Source organism: Homo sapiens, chromosome 9 (assembly GCF_000001405.40).
Source record: "Homo sapiens chromosome 9, GRCh38.p14 Primary Assembly".
In the NCBI taxonomy this organism is placed as follows: Eukaryota; Metazoa; Chordata; class Mammalia; order Primates; family Hominidae; genus Homo; species Homo sapiens.
The window spans coordinates 901,985-920,890 of record NC_000009.12 but is presented as its reverse complement, the minus strand read 5'-3'; the positions used below and the strand labels follow the sequence as shown (position 1 = coordinate 920,890).

Sequence of the window (18,906 nt, the reverse complement as noted above, 5' to 3'; positions counted from 1 at the left end):
CCCCTCTTAGACAAGTAACAAAGCACTCCCAGACCCACATCAGACCATGGCCCCCACTCTGCAGACCCTTGGTTCCCACCCCACCTGGCTTGCTCAGGGTCACCCCTACAGCAATTGTGCCCTCCACACACTCCCTGTATCCACAAATTCTCCCTCTATTGGGATCGCCCTCATCAGCATACAAGCGTATTATAAAATCTCTCTTCTTTAAAGAAGGAGCCAAGGCCCTTCCTTGAACTCACTTCCCCACGGGTTGACGTCCCATCCCACTATTCCTCTTACAGCAAAACTCCTGAAGAGCTGCCTGTATTCACTGCACCAATTCTTCTCTCCCATGCACTCCTGAATACGCAGGCAGGCTTTGGTTCTCACCTCCCACCAAAGTGACCACTCAGAAGGTCACTGATCATTTCCACCTTGCAACAGCTGATGGTCGATTCCAGTCCTCATCTCATTTGACATATCAGCACTCTTTGGCTCTCATTAAAATCCTTTAATTTGGCTTCTAAGGCACCGCTCACACACAGTTTCCCTCCTGCCTCACAGGCTGCTCCTCCTCCCTCTTTTCCTTGCTAGTCCTCCTCATCTACAGGGCCATAAACACTGGAGACACGCAGGCTCAGTCCCTGGTCCTTTATATTCTCCACCTACATTCATCTCTCCAAATGATCTCATCACATTGACTTCAAATAAACCTATGCACTGAACCCCCAAATCTTCATCTCCAGTAGAGATATTTCCCCTCCCCCTCAGACTCCACACATCCAACTCCTAATCAACAATCCACTTGGGTGGTTCATGGACATCTCAAACTTAACACATGCAAAGTTAAACTCGTAATGCACACAAACTTATTTTTCCCATAGTCTTCTTTACCTCAATAATTGGAAACCCCAATCTACTTTGGAATTATCTTCGAGGAGTGTACAAATACGTAGAAAATCAAAATACCAATTGGTCAGGTCAAAAATTAAGGAGTCATCCTTCACTCCTCTCTTCCTGTCCCATCCAAAGACCAACAGCAAATCTTGTTGGTTCTATCTTTAAAATATATCCAGAATTCGACCACCCGTCATCACTGCCACGCTCCCACCCTCACTCAGCCACCATCTTCTTTTGCCAGAATTACTGCCATCACCTTCTAACTGGTCTCCCAGCTTCCACCCTTGCATCCCTATAGTCTATAAGAAAACAGTCATCAGGGTGATCATTTAAAAGCACAAGACAGACAAATCACCCTGTGCTTGAACCCTGCTATGGCTCCCCATCTCACTTGAAATAAAAGCCTAATTGTTTCCAATAGCTTACAAAGACCTGCAAGATCTGACTCCACCATCTCTCTGACCTACCCTCTTAACGTTTTTCAGGATAAGGAAAGAAGGAATGGCTCCTATCCTTTTACAAAGAAAAGCATTAAAAAGCAGTAACACGACAAAAGGAAAACTTGCCCTGTAAAATGCCCCCCTCCCCCCGCCCAACATTCCATTTATTTCATGTTGCCAGCTTTATAGCAAACCCAGAGGAAGACACTGAACTTGGGTTCATTTTTTTAGATGACAGAGAAGCTAAGCTTAAATTTATTTTTAAAGAAACTGAAGAACATAGATTTAATGGGCAAATTTATACTTAAATAAGACTTTAAAGAAGACATTAAACCTACTGAAAACACTGTCTTTCAAGTTCTTTAGAAATCCCTATTTAGAATAAATAATAACTTACATATTAACACAATCAACCAAAGGAACTTAGACTTGACGGATCTGCCACATGTAACTGGTTATGAGCCAACCTTTGCCGATATCTCACAAATGAATATACTGATGTCCGCATCCCCACCCATCATTTCCTGTCTCTAGCCTCAGCCCCACCTCCCAGAAGGGCTAACATGCTCTCAAAGAACACCCCACTGTGTCAATGCTGATAAAACTGAGGATCCAGTGTCCCATGAGATGACCTTTGAGGTGTCCTTACTGACCTCCAAACACGCTTCCTTTACCTTCCCACTTGCTTTGTAAAAATTCATGCAATATAAAAAAAGCCAAAATAGCACACATTTGGAAGGCATTAAGCCTTCTGTTAAAAATTAGCTGGGATTTTGATTTTCTACGTATTTGTACACTCCTTCTCGAAGATAATTCCAAAGTAGATAGTGCTGAGATTTTACTTCCCAGCTCTCGTTTCTGAAGCTTGGGCCTCCTACTTAACTGTTAGTGGGTTAGCAGGGTACCAGGAAGTTAAGCCTGGGGCCTCCTCACACACTACTCTTTCAAATAAACACATGGCCAGAAAAGTAATAAGGAATTGTAGGTGGTATTCACCTATTCTTCTTTCCCTGTGAGCGCTAGTACAGCTGGTCTTTTTCTTTCCTGGACTGTAACCTCTTTCCTTCTGAGTCGCTTCCTTTTCTGCCATAAATTCAAATGCCTACCGCTCCTCTCCAAATTCGCTCCTCTCTGCTCTAATAAATTGCCTCTTATATTTTTGTCTTACTGCCTTGCTCTGAATTTACACCTTTGTCTCAAGAACGCCAGTGCTTCAAAAAATATTCCATTATTCCTGGTGTAAGAAGCTCAGGCAATTTCTTCCTGAAAGTGGGTTTCATTCTTAATTTTCTGTATTAACAAATGTTCCTTTAACTGCTTCATCCCCAAATTGTGCAGACAGGCCAGTTAGGATTCTGACCTTTCATGCTTGCACGCCCTTACAGGCCAAACTCAGTTAAAAATAATACCAGATTCATTCATTCATTCACTCAACCAACAAATAAATAAAAGGCATCACAGCAGGTAAGAAAGTATAGAAAATGTGTTGTTTGTCCTTAGGGAGCTTATAAGCCAAATAAATATATAGACTCAAAAGCAGTATGAAAGAAGGACCTATGGGCACACATTATATAGTATGAATACTTATAAAACAGAGTTGTGCTTGTCCACTCCCAACGGAAAGTGATTCTTAATAAAAGTGAAACTGCAATCAACAATGTGTACTTCGGCCTCTCTGCAGCTCAAACTACATAGGCTCCCGTGACCTATATATTTCATATTAATAGAAGTCCTTTATTTTATGTTAATATGGTAAATAAAGCATAACTTGCCCAGCTATTTTAGACTTTCTGGTTCTGAATTTGGAAATCAAAGCATGGTTCTGATTCTCATTCTCTAAGTTCTCTAAAGAGTCAAGTTACTTAGAAAATGAACATATCCTTTTATTTAGCACAGAGTAAATTCTTCTAGATTGGTTTCTCTTCCAAGACACCCTCTACTGCCCTGATTTCCACTTACTGCCTATTGTGTATGTTTCTCACTTTCCTACATCAAAAGAGGATGCTTAACTATAAAGAACTTAAACACGGGATCTGGAAACGCAGCAGCTGTAAAGACCTGCCTCTCACCACAGTGAAAATGCTGGGGGATGTTAAAATTGAAGTCGAGTTACTATGTATTTCAAAGTGCTTTGATTCATTAAACAGTCATTTTTTATTTCAAAGCCATTATATCAGAGTTATTTGCATTGCTACTGCATAAACTCTGAGATCTATTGTATTCAAAAATGTTTTATTATGTTGTTTTCGCCAAAAAGATGAATACGCCTTCAATTTTAAAATGAAAGTCTTTGGGAAAGGAGTTTTCAATGCACAGAAACTCACTTCACAAAAAATACCAGGTCTTGAACCACATTTAAAGTGCCCCTGTATTTCATATTGATCCTCCATAAAATACATTTTTAGCTTCCAAGGGAGAGTCTCTCATCTTACTCCTGTCACTCTAGGAATCCAGAAAGGAAAAAAAACATGATATTAAGAATCAAGCATAGCAAAGTCATTTTATAACTAAATTCTTTAAAGGATACTTATCCAAGCTTCACACAGCAATAAAATTTCCAACAATTACTAACAGCTAAGCCATTAGACACAGCTAATGACCCAATACTGGATAGCCATCCTCTCTCAACCCCAAATCCAGTCTGTGTGACCAGACACCTACCGCTCGCCCTGGCTTCCGGGTAAGAGGGAGCATCCTCAAAAGTGAAGAACTGGGGCACGCTCTGGCCCAGGTAAGAGGGAGGCGGGTAGTAAGAATGCATCCTGTACTGGGAGCTCATTGCATGGCGGTTCTCCATGTTCTTCATCTGCTTAAGAAAAAAGAAGAAATATACTGAGATCAACATTGCATGTCACAACTAGTACAATAATTATCTAGTTCTTTAAAACAAGGTAACAGGCTGGGCACAGTGGCTCATGCCTATGTTCCCGACACCTTGGGAGGCCAGGGCGGGAGGATCGCTTGAGCCCAGGAGTTCAAGACCAGCCAGGGCAACACAGTGAAACCTCTTTTCTACATAAAAATCAAAAAATTGTTTGGGTGTGATAGTGCACGAGTGAGATCTCAGCTACTCAGGAGGCTGAGGTAGGAAGATCACTTGAACCCAGGAGTTTGAGGCTGTAGTGAGCCGTGGCTGCTTGCACTACTGCACTCCAGCCTGGGCAACAGAGAAAGACCCTGTCTCAAAAAAAAAAAGCAAATTAAGGGAATAGCCTATCTAAGTTGGAAGTGGCCTCAGCCATGAATATGCTCTTCCAATGTACTGGGCCTAGAACTATGATGGTGCCCTTTCTATCTTAAGGTCCCCTCTAAAGCACCCCTGAAATTCCTTCTGTTCATTTGGTGCTCGATTAACCAGTACAAAAGAGAACAGGGTGGTGGAGAGGGGACAACACAATCTGCTGTAACACTAACAAATTTGTTTGAACGGGCGCAAGTTATCAGACCTCTTCCCATGTTTCTTCATGTGCAAAACTGGAATTTTATCTTGGTTACCTTACAGTGTTCATATAAGGAGAGTATTTAAAATGACTATAGGCTGGACGCAGTGGCTCACGTCTGTAATCCCAGCACTTTGGGAGGCCAAGATGGGCAGATCACAAGGTCAGGAAATCGAGATCATCCTGGCTAACACAATGAAACCCCATCTCTCCTAAAAATACAAGAAAATTAGCCAGACGTGGTGGCGGGCACCTGTGGTCCCAGCTACTTGGGAGGCTGAGGCAGGAGAATGGCGTGAACCCGGGAGGCAGAGCTTGTACTGAGCCGAGATCGCGCCACTGCACTCCAGCCTGGGCGACAGAGCGAGACTCTGTCTAAAAAATATATATATATTAAAAAAAACAAATAAATAAATACTGTAAAACAACATGCAAACCATGTGTAATGGGAAGCTGTGGACATTAGCACAATGCCATGCTGGATCCTGTTAGTCGGTGTCTGTTCCCTGCAGCAAGAACAGGAGTCTGAGATCTGAATTCTGGAGGTGATTTGGCTTCTGCTAACTGGACACATGGGGCAGAGCAAAACTCGGAAGGCAGTAAGGAGGCACAAGCGCCCCTCCAGTGGCAGCTGCATGTGAGCACAGCAGTCATTCATTTTTTTCCGGCAACCAGACCCTGCCTTTAGGACCATGAGATAGCTTTTATATAAGAAGCAGTTCATTCCCTGTGGCTTCCTGATTCTCATTCAAAGCTAAGAAGATATGACTTGATGGCTTAGAAAGGGCCCCCCCTCCATTTCCACTTTCCTGGCCCTGATGACTCTGATTGTGTAAGACCCACTTCCATGAACATCTAGACCCTGTTAGAGACACCGAGCATTCAACTCATGATCACATCTTCACGGCAACAACAGAGCTGGACTTCAGTTATTTATGACAGTCTTTTAAAACTTAAATTTAGATGGTACTCGCTTTTAAACAAAATTCGATCTAAGGGAATGTTCAAGATAAACCAATTCTGTCCAGAAATATGAGTAATTTCAAAATAATCCAAAATAATTCAAAATCATGTTTTTCAATCAAGTATTTTAAATGGTACTTGAAAAAGAAAATAGCACTAACTTGACAGAGCCTGGTAGTGTAAAATTAGGCACTGGGCTTCCTCAAGATTTTCTATGAACATCTACATTCTGGACAATTCACCAACTAACACTGGCTTAAGTGTACTTTGGGTATTATGGTGCTGTTTGGTAGAAAGAGCTAAGTCCCTGATTTCTGCCTGATGCTTTGAGCAGCTCAAGGAATTTATTTTTGATCTCTACTGCTCTCAAGCTCAAATCTATGTTCTCATGAGTGGATTACTTCTTCTGGAGAAGCAAAGATACCATTACAGGTGATTATTTCCTCTCAAGTGAAGTTTACCTGGGTAAGTCCCCTTTATCCTTTCTAGTTTGTTTTTCTGAAGTATATGAAATGGTGTCTCTTCTAGGCCAATCACTCCGTTTTCACTTTCTACCATTACATTAAATCTTTTTTTTTTTTTTTTTTTTTTTGAGACAGAGTCCCACTCTGTCGCCCAGGCTGGACTGCAGTGGCATGATATTGGCTCATTGCAAGCTCCGCCTCCCAGGTTCACGTCATTCTCCTGCCTCAGCCTCCCGAGTAGCTGGGACTACAGGCGCCCGCCACCATGCCTGGCTAATTTTTTGCATTTTTAGAAGAGACAGGGTTTTACCGTGTTAGCCAGGATGGTCTCGATCTCATGACCTCGTGATCTGCCCGCCTCGGCCTCCCAAAGTGCTGGGATTACAGGCGTGAGCCACCGCGCCTGGCCACATTAAATCTTTACTAAATAGAAGGTTAAAGAAGCTATACTCGGAAAACAGCCAAAAAGGAAAAACTGGCTACCCCTAATAAATAAGACCACACAGCAGAAGAGCCCATTAAGAAGCCACTAAACCATTTAAGAGAAAAGGGACAATCATGGTAGCTGTTTACTACACACACCCAGTTATCAATTAGAGCACTGCAGCATCTTTTGATGATTCCCAGCAGCTCTCAATGCGCATATGAATGGCCAGGGGGTCCTGTTAAAATGCAGGTCCTGATGGTAAGACTGGGCTGGAGATGCTGATATTGCTGGTGCCCAGGGACTAGAATACGTGATCCTTCCTCTCATACTTAGTACCTCTCAGAACCCAAGACCAAAGGAAACCCTTTAAAAAAAATTGTTTGAGACCGAGTCTCACTCTGTTGCCCAGGCTGGAGTGCAATGGCACAATCTCGGCTCACTGCAACCTCTGCTTCCTGGCTTCAAGCGATTCTCCTGCGTCAGCCTCCTGAGTAGCCTACTCTACAGACATGCCCCACCACGTCCGGCTAATTTTTGTATTTTTAGTAGAGACGTTTTCTCCATGTTGCCTAGGCTGGTCTCAAATTCCTGGCCTCAAGTGATCCGCCCGCCTCGGCATCCCAAAGTGCTGAGATTACAAGTGTCAGCCACTGCCCCAGCTTAAAAAAAAAAAAAAATTACCAGTTGCTTACAACCATCCAGTTTCCAGCTGAACTGGAAAAGTGAAACTATGTAAATAGCAATTTTTAATTTTCATTCTTTTTTTATTTTTATACACAAAATTCCCCAGAACTAAAAGATTTTTTTCAGGGGTCTGTTGCCATCTACAACTGCTGCAGCAGTAAAAACTCAAACACACTTTGAATTGAAAAGCCATTTGTGTCTCCATAGACTTCCTTAAGTCAATTACACAGTCTGAGTAGTGAACACTGAATTAGAAGCAAGGTGCCGACATAAGCCGTAATATAAATAATGGAGCCTCCCTGCTCTGGGGGCTGAGTTTGTCACATCTACTTCAGGTTTGACAATATCTTCAAGCCAGTTCTTCAAGGAAAATGCTTTTCAATTTTGCCAGGGTACAAGAAAACAGATAGGATTTGGGCCTAAATGCTCTGCAAAATGCTGGATGTTTTTTTTACTATGAAAGTTTACACAAACCTTCCTTTCAAAATGTTTGAAAAATGTTGATCATGAGTCTATAGCAGGTGTCAGCAAACTTTTTATTGTAAATGTCAAACAGTATATATATTTTAGGCAAGCCATACAGTCTCTAGCAATTTGTAAAATGAATGGGCATGGCTGTGTTCCAATAAAACTTTATTTGTAAACAGTGGCACTGGTTCCTTCTCAAACTTCACTCTCACTGGAGTAAGGTGAGAAGGGAACTCAGTACTGATGCCTGGACTCCACTCAAGAAAATCTGGTTTAACTGCTCTGGGATGTGGCCTGGGCCCTGGATATTTTCAAAGATCCCAGTTAATTCTAATATGACACCGAGATTGAGAACCAGTGCTCTACAATTACCAACATATCGTCCATATACCTTGGAAGTACGAGATCCCAACAATCCCCTATATTAACTAAAACAGGCTAAATCTGACAAATAGACTGGCTAACGCTGCCAATCCCAATGTATGTATTATTTGACAAAAAGATGAAGATGAACAGTAAAATTCTTTTTTTTAACTAACGCTTACTGGAAAATAAACACAATTTCAAATCCATGCGTGTGCTTATTTATTCCCTTAATTCCTTTTCCATGTTTTCCAAAAGCATGAAATAAAAAGAACTATTAGGAAATAGGAATTTAGTTATTTATATTCAAACATTCACTATCCTTAATGAATCCCCAAGATCACTGAGCTATAAAAGAATTCCAGTAAAAGAAGAAAAAGATACAAAGGGTCAGACTCCATTTGAGGTTACTAGAATGTGAACTGATATGGTTTGGCTCTGTGTCCTCACTCAAATCTCATCTCACACCGTAATCTCCACGTGTCAAAGAAGGAACGTGGTAGGCGGTGGTGATTGGATCATGGGGGCGGTTGCCCCAATCTGTTCTCATGATATGGAGGGAGTTCTCTTGAGATCTGATGCTTTAAAAGTGTTTGGCAGTTTCCCCTGTTCTCTTTCTCCTCTCTCCTGCTGCCTTGTGAAGAAGAGAAGGTGCCTGCTTCTTCTTCGCCTTCTGACATGACTGCAAGTTTCCTGACGCCTCCCCAGCCATGCGGACCTGTGAGTTAATTAGACCTCTTTTTTTATTTATAAATTACCCAGTCTTGGGTAGTATCTTTACAGCAGTGTGAGAACAGACTAGTACATGAACTTACTGAGGTCATCAGTCACTTCAGCTACATCCACCTCAAAGAATCCACAAACAACCCATCCACGTGACAACTTGCTCATAAGAAGAAAAGGACAGTTCTATGTGTTTCTAAGTGCATGTGTAGCAATATAAACAGGATGTTAAAACTGCAATTCATGGATGGGCGCGGTGGCTCACGCCTGCAGTCCCAACATTTTGGAAGGCTGTGGTGAGTGGATCACCTGAGGTCAGGAGTTCAAGACCAGCCTGACCAACATGGTGAATCTCCGTCTCTACTAAATACAAACAATTAGCTGGGTGTGGTGGCAGGCGCCTATAATCCCAGCTACTTGGGAGGCTGAGGCAGGAGAATCGCTTGAACCCAGGAGGCAGAGGTTGCAGTGAGCTGAAATTGCACCACTGCACTCCAGCCTGGGCGACAGAGTGCGACTCCATCTAAAAAAAAAAAAAAAAAAAAAAAAAAAAAAAAAAAAAAAAATGCAATTAACCCAGAAAAAGGCATGGCAGAATGCAATTTCAAACTAAATTACTTCCTGCTCTCTTCTAACTTTAAAAAGAAAATCACAACCCTGCTACTTTTGGCTTAAACAAAATGGGAAATTAACGAAGCCTTTGAAACTCACTTTACTTTAAACCAGTAGTTCTGAACTAGGGGCAGTCTGATCCTCCACAGGGCATCTGGCAACATCTGGAGACGCTTTTGATTGTGACAAGGGGGCAGGGAGTTGATGCTGGCATCTAGTGGTCAAGGTCAGGGATGCTGCTGACTGTCACTACAGTGTAGTGTCCCACAATTCCCACAGGACACAGAATTAACCAACCCAAGGCCTGAACAGCGCCAAGGTGAGAAGCTCCCTTTAAACTAACTGAGCACCACCCCTGTGCTCAGTCCCTCACCTCCAGCTAGAAGAAAACAGCTAAGTGCTGCTGAGGGACAAGAGCGGCAAAGAAATCAGAGGAGCCACTCAGTTTTCCTAAAGGGATATATATTTTTCTCCTTTGTGAAATGCCTCCTTGTTTCCTCTCAAGGTTTTTTTTTATTCCTTCAAGCTAAGCAAATAAATAAACCAAGTAAACCCTAAAAACCCAGGATTCCAGTGAATGATGACTACTATTATTATTAGCAGTGGTCACTGGCAAGCAAGAGGCATGTTTTATACGTTATTACCCATCCAAAGTCTCTGAACCAGAGTACGACCCATGGATAAGAGCTGGCTGGTGGAGGATGCTCATGGTGTTAGTATTAACTTTGCAGGCAACCCAAGACCTTGGAGTTGTGTTCTATTAAATTGTTAAGAATATGCATTACAGTAAACCCGAGCCATAATTTCCTTTTATACGTGTTAGCCACCCTATTTTATAGTAACAATAATATCTGAAAAAAAAACCATAAAAATGTTTGAGTTCACTTCTTTTTTTAAAAAAAAAAATCCCAAATACCAGTCACTGGTTATCTAGTAACAGTTTAGATGAGTGCCTGGTCTTGCATCAAAGTGAACAGTCTATCCAGGTGAATGACTAAAAGGGATTTGTGAAGACCAAATTGTCATCTAGTTGTTTACTAAACATCGCATGGCTGCATAAAACTGGAGTTGATGTAACAAAGGGGAACAGTCTTTTTTTTTTTTTAATTTCTAAGTTTTTTCATTTGTTTTTGAACTTATATCAGATGATGCCTTTTTCATTAAAAATGCCTGTGCTCACATTTATTAAAAGTTTTCATCATCAGTATTTAGGTATCTTGATTCTTCATGCTTCAAGACAAAAAAATCTTCAGCGTTAAGTTCGTATCTCTCTAGAGCTTCATTCAGCTTCACTGGAGGCTCTAAGTAATGCTCATTTGCAGAAAGGGGAACAGTCTTAATGAGAAGAGTTATTCTATAGGATAACATTCCTAATTGCAAACTGATATTTAAACAAATAGTGTAATGACTCAGCCAGGCACAATGGCTCACACCTGTAAATCTCAGCACGTGGGAGGCTGAGGAGGAAGGATTATTTGAGCCCGGGGGTTGGAGAACAGTCTGGGCAACATGGTGAGACTCCATCTCTACAAAAAATTTAAAAAATTAGGCAGGCATGGTGGTGCACACCTGTGTTCCCAGCTACTCAGGAGGCTGATGTGGGAGGATCGCTTAAGCCCAGCAGGTCAAGGCTGCAGTAAGCTATGTTTGCCCTGCTGACTCCAACCTGGGTGACAGATTAAGACCCTGTTTCAAAAAAAAACAGAAACAAAAAAACTCCCTTGGTATTCATATGTGGCTTACAGTCTTTTAAATGGCAAAAGCTGTATTTGGGGTAAACCTTTGGTTTTCTGAACAGAAACCTTTTTATAAAGGTAGGACTCTTCACAGGCTGTAGAATTCTGGGTCTTCTGGTGGTGCTGGGTGTGAAGGCTGGGGTTGACTTTTACCCTCATTAAATGATGGCTTTAGTTTTAATAGATGCTTCTTTTCGAACCATCTAAATGGGATGCCTGTTCCCAAGCTCACCTAAGCACACACCGTGAACTGTCTGAGCCTACAGACTTCACCTACGCAAAGGGCTTCACCCAAAAAGCCCCGTTCACCTTCTGAAATACACACCTTATTCATTTTTCAGCATTCCATATTTCACAGCTGAGAAAAAAATTTTAATATATAGGCTAAAATGATTGCTATTATGCACACATTTCAGAGATTACCAAAGCACCAGGCCAAATGCTGAGGTGTGTGACCCAAGCAGATTCCCACAGCGAAAACCCGCCCCTCCCGACTTCCTTTCCTTTTGTGTCCAGAGCTCTGAAGATGAGTCCTTTGCTCCCTTCCTCTCCTGCGCTCACCTTGCTTTCTCTTAGGTGGTCCTGCTATGGAATGCCCTCCACTTCCCTCCTAGAGGGAGGAAAGAACCGAGGCAGGCAGAGACAGGCACTTGTGAGGACTCAGCCTTTGTAAGGGATTCCCGCAAAGGCCAAGAGGATCCTTCAACGTGTGTGGGGTGAGGGGTGGACAGGGGAGGGGTGAAGCTGCTGTGCTAAGCGTGGGGCTGGGGCTGGGCATTCAGATGCTGAAGAACCCAAGAGTCCTTTTTCCAAACGAAAGCTCTCCCTCCAAATGCGCCCAGGAGAGGTGGGAGGGGAAAACGGGGGAGGAGTGGAGAGGAGGACGCTCACACAACAGGGCAGAGAGAACCAACCATTTCAGAAGTGATTCATTTAAGATGTTTTAAGTTGCAAATCCCAAATTTCCCACTACACATGCAAAAACAAAAGAAAAAGTGTGGGTGGAGTTTTCAAAAAAAAAGAACCAAAGGAAAGTTTGTATTACAGTAGCTCCAAAAATAAAAATAAACAACAGCCCTAAGGTGAACCATAAAAAAACAAACAACTCACATGGAAAAACAGAACCAAAATTGAACACAAGGATATAAAGCAAGCCCTCCCGCAATTTCCATAAATTGTGGAGAGGGCATGGAAGAGAAATTCACATCAGTCTTTTTTAAAAAAACATTTTTAGAGACAGGGTCTCTCTGTCGCCCAGCCTGGAGTACAGTGGTGTGATCGCAGCTCACTGCAGCCTCAATCTCGTGGGCTCAAGTGATCCTCTCACCTCAGGCTCCTGAGTAGCTAGAACTACAGGCGCACAACACCAAGACCAGCTAAATTTTTTATATTTTTTGTAGAAACAGGGTCCCACTATGTTGCCCAGGCTGGTCTTGAATTCCTGGCCTCAAGTGATCCTCTCACCTTGGGCCCCCCTCCAAGAGCTAGGATTACAGGCATGAGCCACCATGCCCAGCCCACAACAATCCTGAATACCCATTAAGGATAGAAACCCCATAGGATATCAGGATTACACTTGTATTTATTAGTGGTCCATTTTGCTTATCTTTAGCCCAGAAGCAATTCAGATGTGAGTATTTTGACATTTTACAAAGGCCAAATTATTTTTTTAACTTGTGTTGTTCAACTGTTTTCACCATCTGCCATCAGTGGTACTGACGGAACAACAGTGTACTTCTTGAGACCATGTTTTCCAAAAGGCAGAAGTGTTACCTTTTATAGGGCCCTCAAATAATTCAGTATGCAGTCAGTGTGTGTTATATACATATAACACACACACACACACACACACACACACATATATATTTTAGAGAACTGTATGGAATTGAACAGAATGCAATAGAATAGAACAGAACAGAATAAAAGAGAACTGTATATAAGAATTCATTGCATATACAATTTGGGTAAGGGGTAAGAACTGTTCTACAAAACTTGTCATTTTGTGTATGTGTGTGTAAATATATACTGGAATACAGTTTCTTACTGTGGGTCTCAATCTAAAATGTTTGAAAGACACCAACGTATAAATCAGGTAAAGGGATGCAAGTACCTCTAAAAGGAGGTAAACAGTAAGAAAAAGCCAAATTTTAAAAAATGTTTCCTTTTCCTAAAACCTGAAAGGGTCTTGGTGCATATCAGGGGGTTCACAAAAGAGAGTGGGGTGGTTGGTTTGGACCAGTGTCTGGCTGGGACTAGCTCAGCGCCTTCTTCATCTTGAGAAATCTATGCAGGATTTTCCAGTTCCTGGGTTGGAAACCTACATTTGTCTAGTTCACAAATCTAAAATACAGACCCGGACTTCCCAACTGAACCCATGTATACCAGGCATAAATGCAAGTACCATTTACATAAAAGCAACTAAGAAACAGAGTTTCAGTAAAATGGCTGGAGAGAAAGGAAATTAAAAAGGTTGTATTTTTTAAATTTGGTTAATAATGATCAGCACGCTCCACTCTCTCACATGTCCAGTCTCTGAAGGCATCTACAATGCTTCTTAAGACTGGGGTGTGTGTTTGTACGGATGGGGGTTGTACTGATGATATTCTTAATGTTAATTTTCCTGAGAAAATACTGGTTACTGACGATAAGATTAACCAAATTTCAGAGGAAGAAAATGAGCATCTATTGAGAAATAATATAGAGACTTGTTATCTCATGAGTCTTCATAATTTAATAATCATTGATATAGGAAGAAACTGCTCAGAGAGATCAAATAACTTGGTTCTGGTCCCAAGGAATTAAGTACAGACAGCAAGATTCAAAGTAAATCACCTCAGACGCTTCTGAGATTTCTCTCTACTAAACCAAGGAAACTTTCTAATTTTAAATGAAGGTATCTGCTTAGTATAAAGACCTACTTTGCTGCCTTTAGCTTTTAACAACTCTTCGCATTGTCTCTACTTCTGGAGCAAATAAACTTTTTTTTTGATTGTCTGAAAATGAGAAATGATGCCCACAACCGCACATTTAGGAACTTTGATTTCAGAACCAGAAACATCAGAGGCATCCATATCTGTTCCCACCTTGATGGACAAACTTAATTAACCTTTGCTACTCTGTTCCAACCTACTGTTTTAGACAAAACTAGTGACCCAGAAACAATATGTCACCATCACAATCTCCAGGGCTGCGACATCAAGAGATATAGCCCTATCAGCAGTATAGGAAAATAAGCCACTTGGATTAGCTGCTGTAAGAAATATGGATTATATTCATGTCACACATGAGCTGTCAGAAACATTAGGATACTTTTAGCATAAATCAGCAGTGTGAAGGGTGTCTTATGAGCACAGAACATGAGAGCCTGCCGGGAGGGCAACGTGAGGCTGTCTGGGGCCACATTCTAACTAAGCACACGCACACACTCACATCCTTTACCAAACTGGTATTCAAGATCCGACGCAGGCTGGTGACCTCTGATGGACACACTCAACTTGTGGGTGGCAGGAAAAAGCCCTGCCCACTCTAAGACCATGAAGGGAGTCCACCTCCAACTAATTGAAATGACACAAGAATGACCAAAAGCATCACGTTACCACTGTTCCCTAAAGTACATGGATTTGGAAGAGTGTGTGAGTGTGTGTGTGTGTGTGTGTGGGTGTGTGTGTCACAGAAGCATCTTGAGAGACAGCATGCCTAGTGATTTTCCAGAATTTCACGGCTTTAAAAGGAAAACCAAGAAATGTGCACTGCCCTGCAAGGAAAGCAGAGACACCACGGGAACAGAGGTGCCTCTCTGCAGTCAGGCAAACTCCAAATCCAGCTTCCCCGTTTCCAGCCGTGCAGTACTAGCTAGCTACTTCATCTCCCTGAGCCCCAGTTTCCTCATCCACAAAAGGAGGCTCACAGCCCGGAAAGGCTGTGTTTATGGATGAAATGGAATAGGAGACAGGAAGTGCCCAGCAGCGTGACACTGTTCCAGGGCTGTTCTGCTTGCACCCTCCTCTTCCCCTCACGGGTCCACCTGCTTCTGTCAACGGGAGAACGGGGCACCGCAATGAAAGACTCCTCTTCGGGGTTTGCAAACAAATGACTCAAACAAAAAACCTTTCCATTATACACTTTAAAGGTGATTTTAAGTACATAAACTTTAGTTTGACATGTCCTGCAGTGCCACACACACACACACACACACACACAGACACACACACACAGGGGCAAGGGAGTGAGGAGACAGCGAAATTTCCAGGCCTTCCCATTTTTTGGTTTTATACAAATACTCCAGACATAGAATTATGTCTGCCTTCCTTCCCCTAGAACTGGGACTTGCCAGAAAGAATGTTGTGAGAAGGAATGTGATAAATAAAATGTGGGGATAATACCTTTTTCCCTGTTCCTCAGTCTATGTATGAACACCCCTTCCAGGAGGCTGTGCATCTCAATGGTGATGCCCACAGGGCCAATGCTATACCAAGGAGGGGGTGCTGAGGGCAACCCATCCTGGGGGGAGGCAGTAAGGGGGTGCACTCACTGTGGGATAATTTTTTAAAAATAAAATCCACTAAAGTCAATCTATCACCATGCACTGGAAATTCTAAACAATAGTTGTGATCAAACACTTGTCCCCACCCTGCCTCTTGGCATGCCACAGCAAGGGCTCATCTTTCCACAAGGCATCACAGTTCTCCCCGGGCTCTGATCGAAACAGGAATAAGAGAATTACATGTGTCTTTTTTTTTTTTTTTTGAGACGGAGTTTCGTTCTTGTTGCCCAGGCTGGAGTACAGTGGCGCAATCTCGGCTCACCGCAACCTACGCCTCCCTGGTCCAAGCGATTCTCCTGCCTCAGCCTCGAGTAGCTGGGATTATAGGCACCTGCCTCCACGCCCAGCTAATTTTGTATTTTTAGTAGAGACAGGGTTTCTCCATGTTGCTGAGATTGGTCTCAAACTCCTGACCTCAGGTGATCCACCTGCCTCGGCCTCCCAAAGTGCTGGGATTACAGGCGTGAGCCATAGCACCCGGCCACATGGGTCTTTTGAGTTTTCTTTCTCATCCATTCCACCATGAGCCAGTACTTGAGAGTCTCTAGCACAGTGCCAGGCACGGAGCAGCCACTCAATAAAAACAATCAACAAATGCATAAAGGAGTCTCTAACGCATACTCTGTAATACAGTGGATATTTTTTGGCAACTCTAGTCTTTTTTTCTATCCTATTTCTATTATGGTATTGAAAAAACAGGGCAAACCTGTTATGCATTCCCTTGATTTTCATCTTTATTCAAATGATGAGGAACACTTAAGAGACCACAGAAATATAGACTCCTAAGAAATCTGAGAATCACTTATACATGTAATTAAACGTTCTGAAAAGCAACTAATTTCATATCATATTCATGTCTACTTAACAGGAAAAAAAGTAAGCTAAAAGGGCAAACATAAATGGATAAGATTTTGGCCACCAGCCAAACCAAATCAAATCTGAAAGCTTTCAAAAACTGTGATCTAATTATCTAAATTTCAAGCCAATTACAGAATCCCCAAATGACTATATTATTTACTAACCTAATGCTACTGTGTCAGATAATAGGTAATGTAACAACCTCGCAAGACTAATAATATGCTTCTGCCTCCGATTCAATTGTGAAGTAGTCCCTGGAGTACATCAGCACTTTACAGGGGATTTCTTACTCAGCCCAGATCACACTGAAGTCATCTAACAATGGAAATGAATCTGTAGGACAGCCCAGGACTTACACAAGTCTTCCGAAGGTTGCTGAAAAACCTAATGTTTCACTCTATCTGGCTTCCTGGGATGCTACTGGACCACTTCAACCAGACTGAAAAAACAATCCCTTAGGATGCCCAGGTCTGCACTCCTTCTAGATATTCTCTGAGTCAGAGCTGTCTGTTCTCCAGGGCCCCAGGTATCCAGAGGCCAATTCTAGTTTCTTCTGGAATCTACATATTTTTAACCAAAACACACTCCAAAAATGTCTCTCCTGTGCACTATACTGTAGCTACGGGATATTCCTAAACCCAACCTCTCACCATCTGTCTGGGCTCAGCGGCTAAACTTCCCACCATCACCCTCCCTGAGCTTTGGCTCCAGACAAAGAGCCACTGGGAAAATTGTCATCGCAGGCACCAGTTCTTACAAACAACTACCCTTGCTGCAGGATCAAAAGCATGCAAGTCATTAAGCTTTCATCATCTGTGAAACAAAACAGCAATTCCTTCAAGGAAAGGTGTAATAAAAACCAGATGATGACTGTCACGATCATCACTTGTCATCAGCTAAAATGAGACAAAATAGGAACTCCTTGGTGAAAGTGCTGGTAGGTGAGGTGATCACCTAGAAACAGAAAGCCGGGACTGCATTCACCCAGGCTTAATGCTTCAGAGGAGTAATGTGGGTGGGGGTGGGCAAGGACTCTCACTGCTCCTTACAGGGCCAGCTAGAGAAAGAAAGCTTTGCTCCCTGCAGGAGTAAGACTATGTTGTAAAGACCCAAGAGAATTGGGTCCACTATTTCTCTTTAAAAGAGAGGAACCTAATGAGGAATTATGTTGCAGAAGAAAACATCATAGGCATGGCTAAGACTTGACAAGCCATTTAAGGCAAAGTTTATACTAATAGTAATGTGACCCCCAAACTCAGGGAACATGACAGCTTTAATTCCACTGGCTTTAAACTTTCTAGGGTCTATCATGACTTTGGAGTTGCATTTCCTTAAACAGAAGAGTCTCCAAAACTTGCCTACTGACCTAGTAGGCCCAATCATTACATCCTCACCATGTACCTGACAGCAGAACCTACTTGGGGTTCCTGTGAATGAATTCCTCAAAATGCTAGACCAGCATGAGGGTGTTCCCATGGCTGTCATAAAAAGGAGCGGAAAGCTGGGCATGGTGGCTCACACCTGTAATCCCAGCACTTTGGGAAGCTGAGGTGGGCGGATCACTCGAGGTGAGGAGTTCGAGACCAACCTGGCCAACATGGCGAAACCCTGTCTCTACTAAAAATATAAAAATTAGCTGGGTATGGTGGCGTGTGCCTGTAGTCCCAGCTACTCAGGAGGCTGAGGCAGGAGAATCGCTTGAACCCGGGAGGCAGAGGTTGCAGTGAGCCGAGAAACTGCATTGGTGTACTCCAGCCTGGGCAAGACAGCAAGACTCCATCTAAAAAAAAAAAAAATGTGGTGGGAGGGGAAGCACCCTGCAAGTCAAGAGGTAAGCACAAATGTAAGTCCACATAATTGCTAAAGGGAGCACACTGAAGCCCCTAAAGAACTTCACTGTTGTCACAAGGACACACTGAGTACTGCAGCAGTCTTAAAAAAGAAAGGTGGAGGAGGAGGGGGTGTAGGAAGGAGGCGAGAGACAACGGGTATCAACTTTTTACATTGCTGAATAAGAGCATTAACAAAAAACATCCCACCATCTAATACATCACTTTATGTTTTAAAAAGTTGAAAAGTGGCTGGCGCGGTGGCTCACGCCTGTAATCCCAGCACTTTGGGAGGCTGAGGGGGGCGGATCACCTGAGGTCAGGAGTTTGAGACCAGCCTGGCCAACATGGCAAAACCCCATCTCGACTAAAAATACAAAAATTAGCTGGGCGTGGTGGTGCACGCCTGTAATCCCAGCTACTCAGGACGCTGAGGCAGGAGAACCGCTTGAACTAGGGAGGAGGTTGCAGTGG

The 18,906-nt window shown here is 42.7% G+C and overlaps 1 protein-coding gene across 6 annotated transcripts in view; it reads right to left on the bottom strand.

The window, feature by feature from the left end:
• DMRT1 (doublesex and mab-3 related transcription factor 1) overlaps positions 1-18,906 on the bottom strand; it is a 127,394-nt gene that overhangs the window by 48,200 nt on the left and 60,288 nt on the right. For 3 of the 6 annotated variants that reach the window (XM_006716732.2, XM_011517770.2, XM_011517773.4), the window contains exon 4: positions 3,984-4,131. In XM_006716732.2, coding sequence (XP_006716795.1) covers positions 3,984-4,131 — 148 coding nt within the window. The remainder of the gene's footprint in view (positions 1-3,983; positions 4,132-18,906) is intronic. The other 3 variants (NM_021951.3, XM_011517771.2, NM_001363767.1) reach the window with 1 other exon arrangement.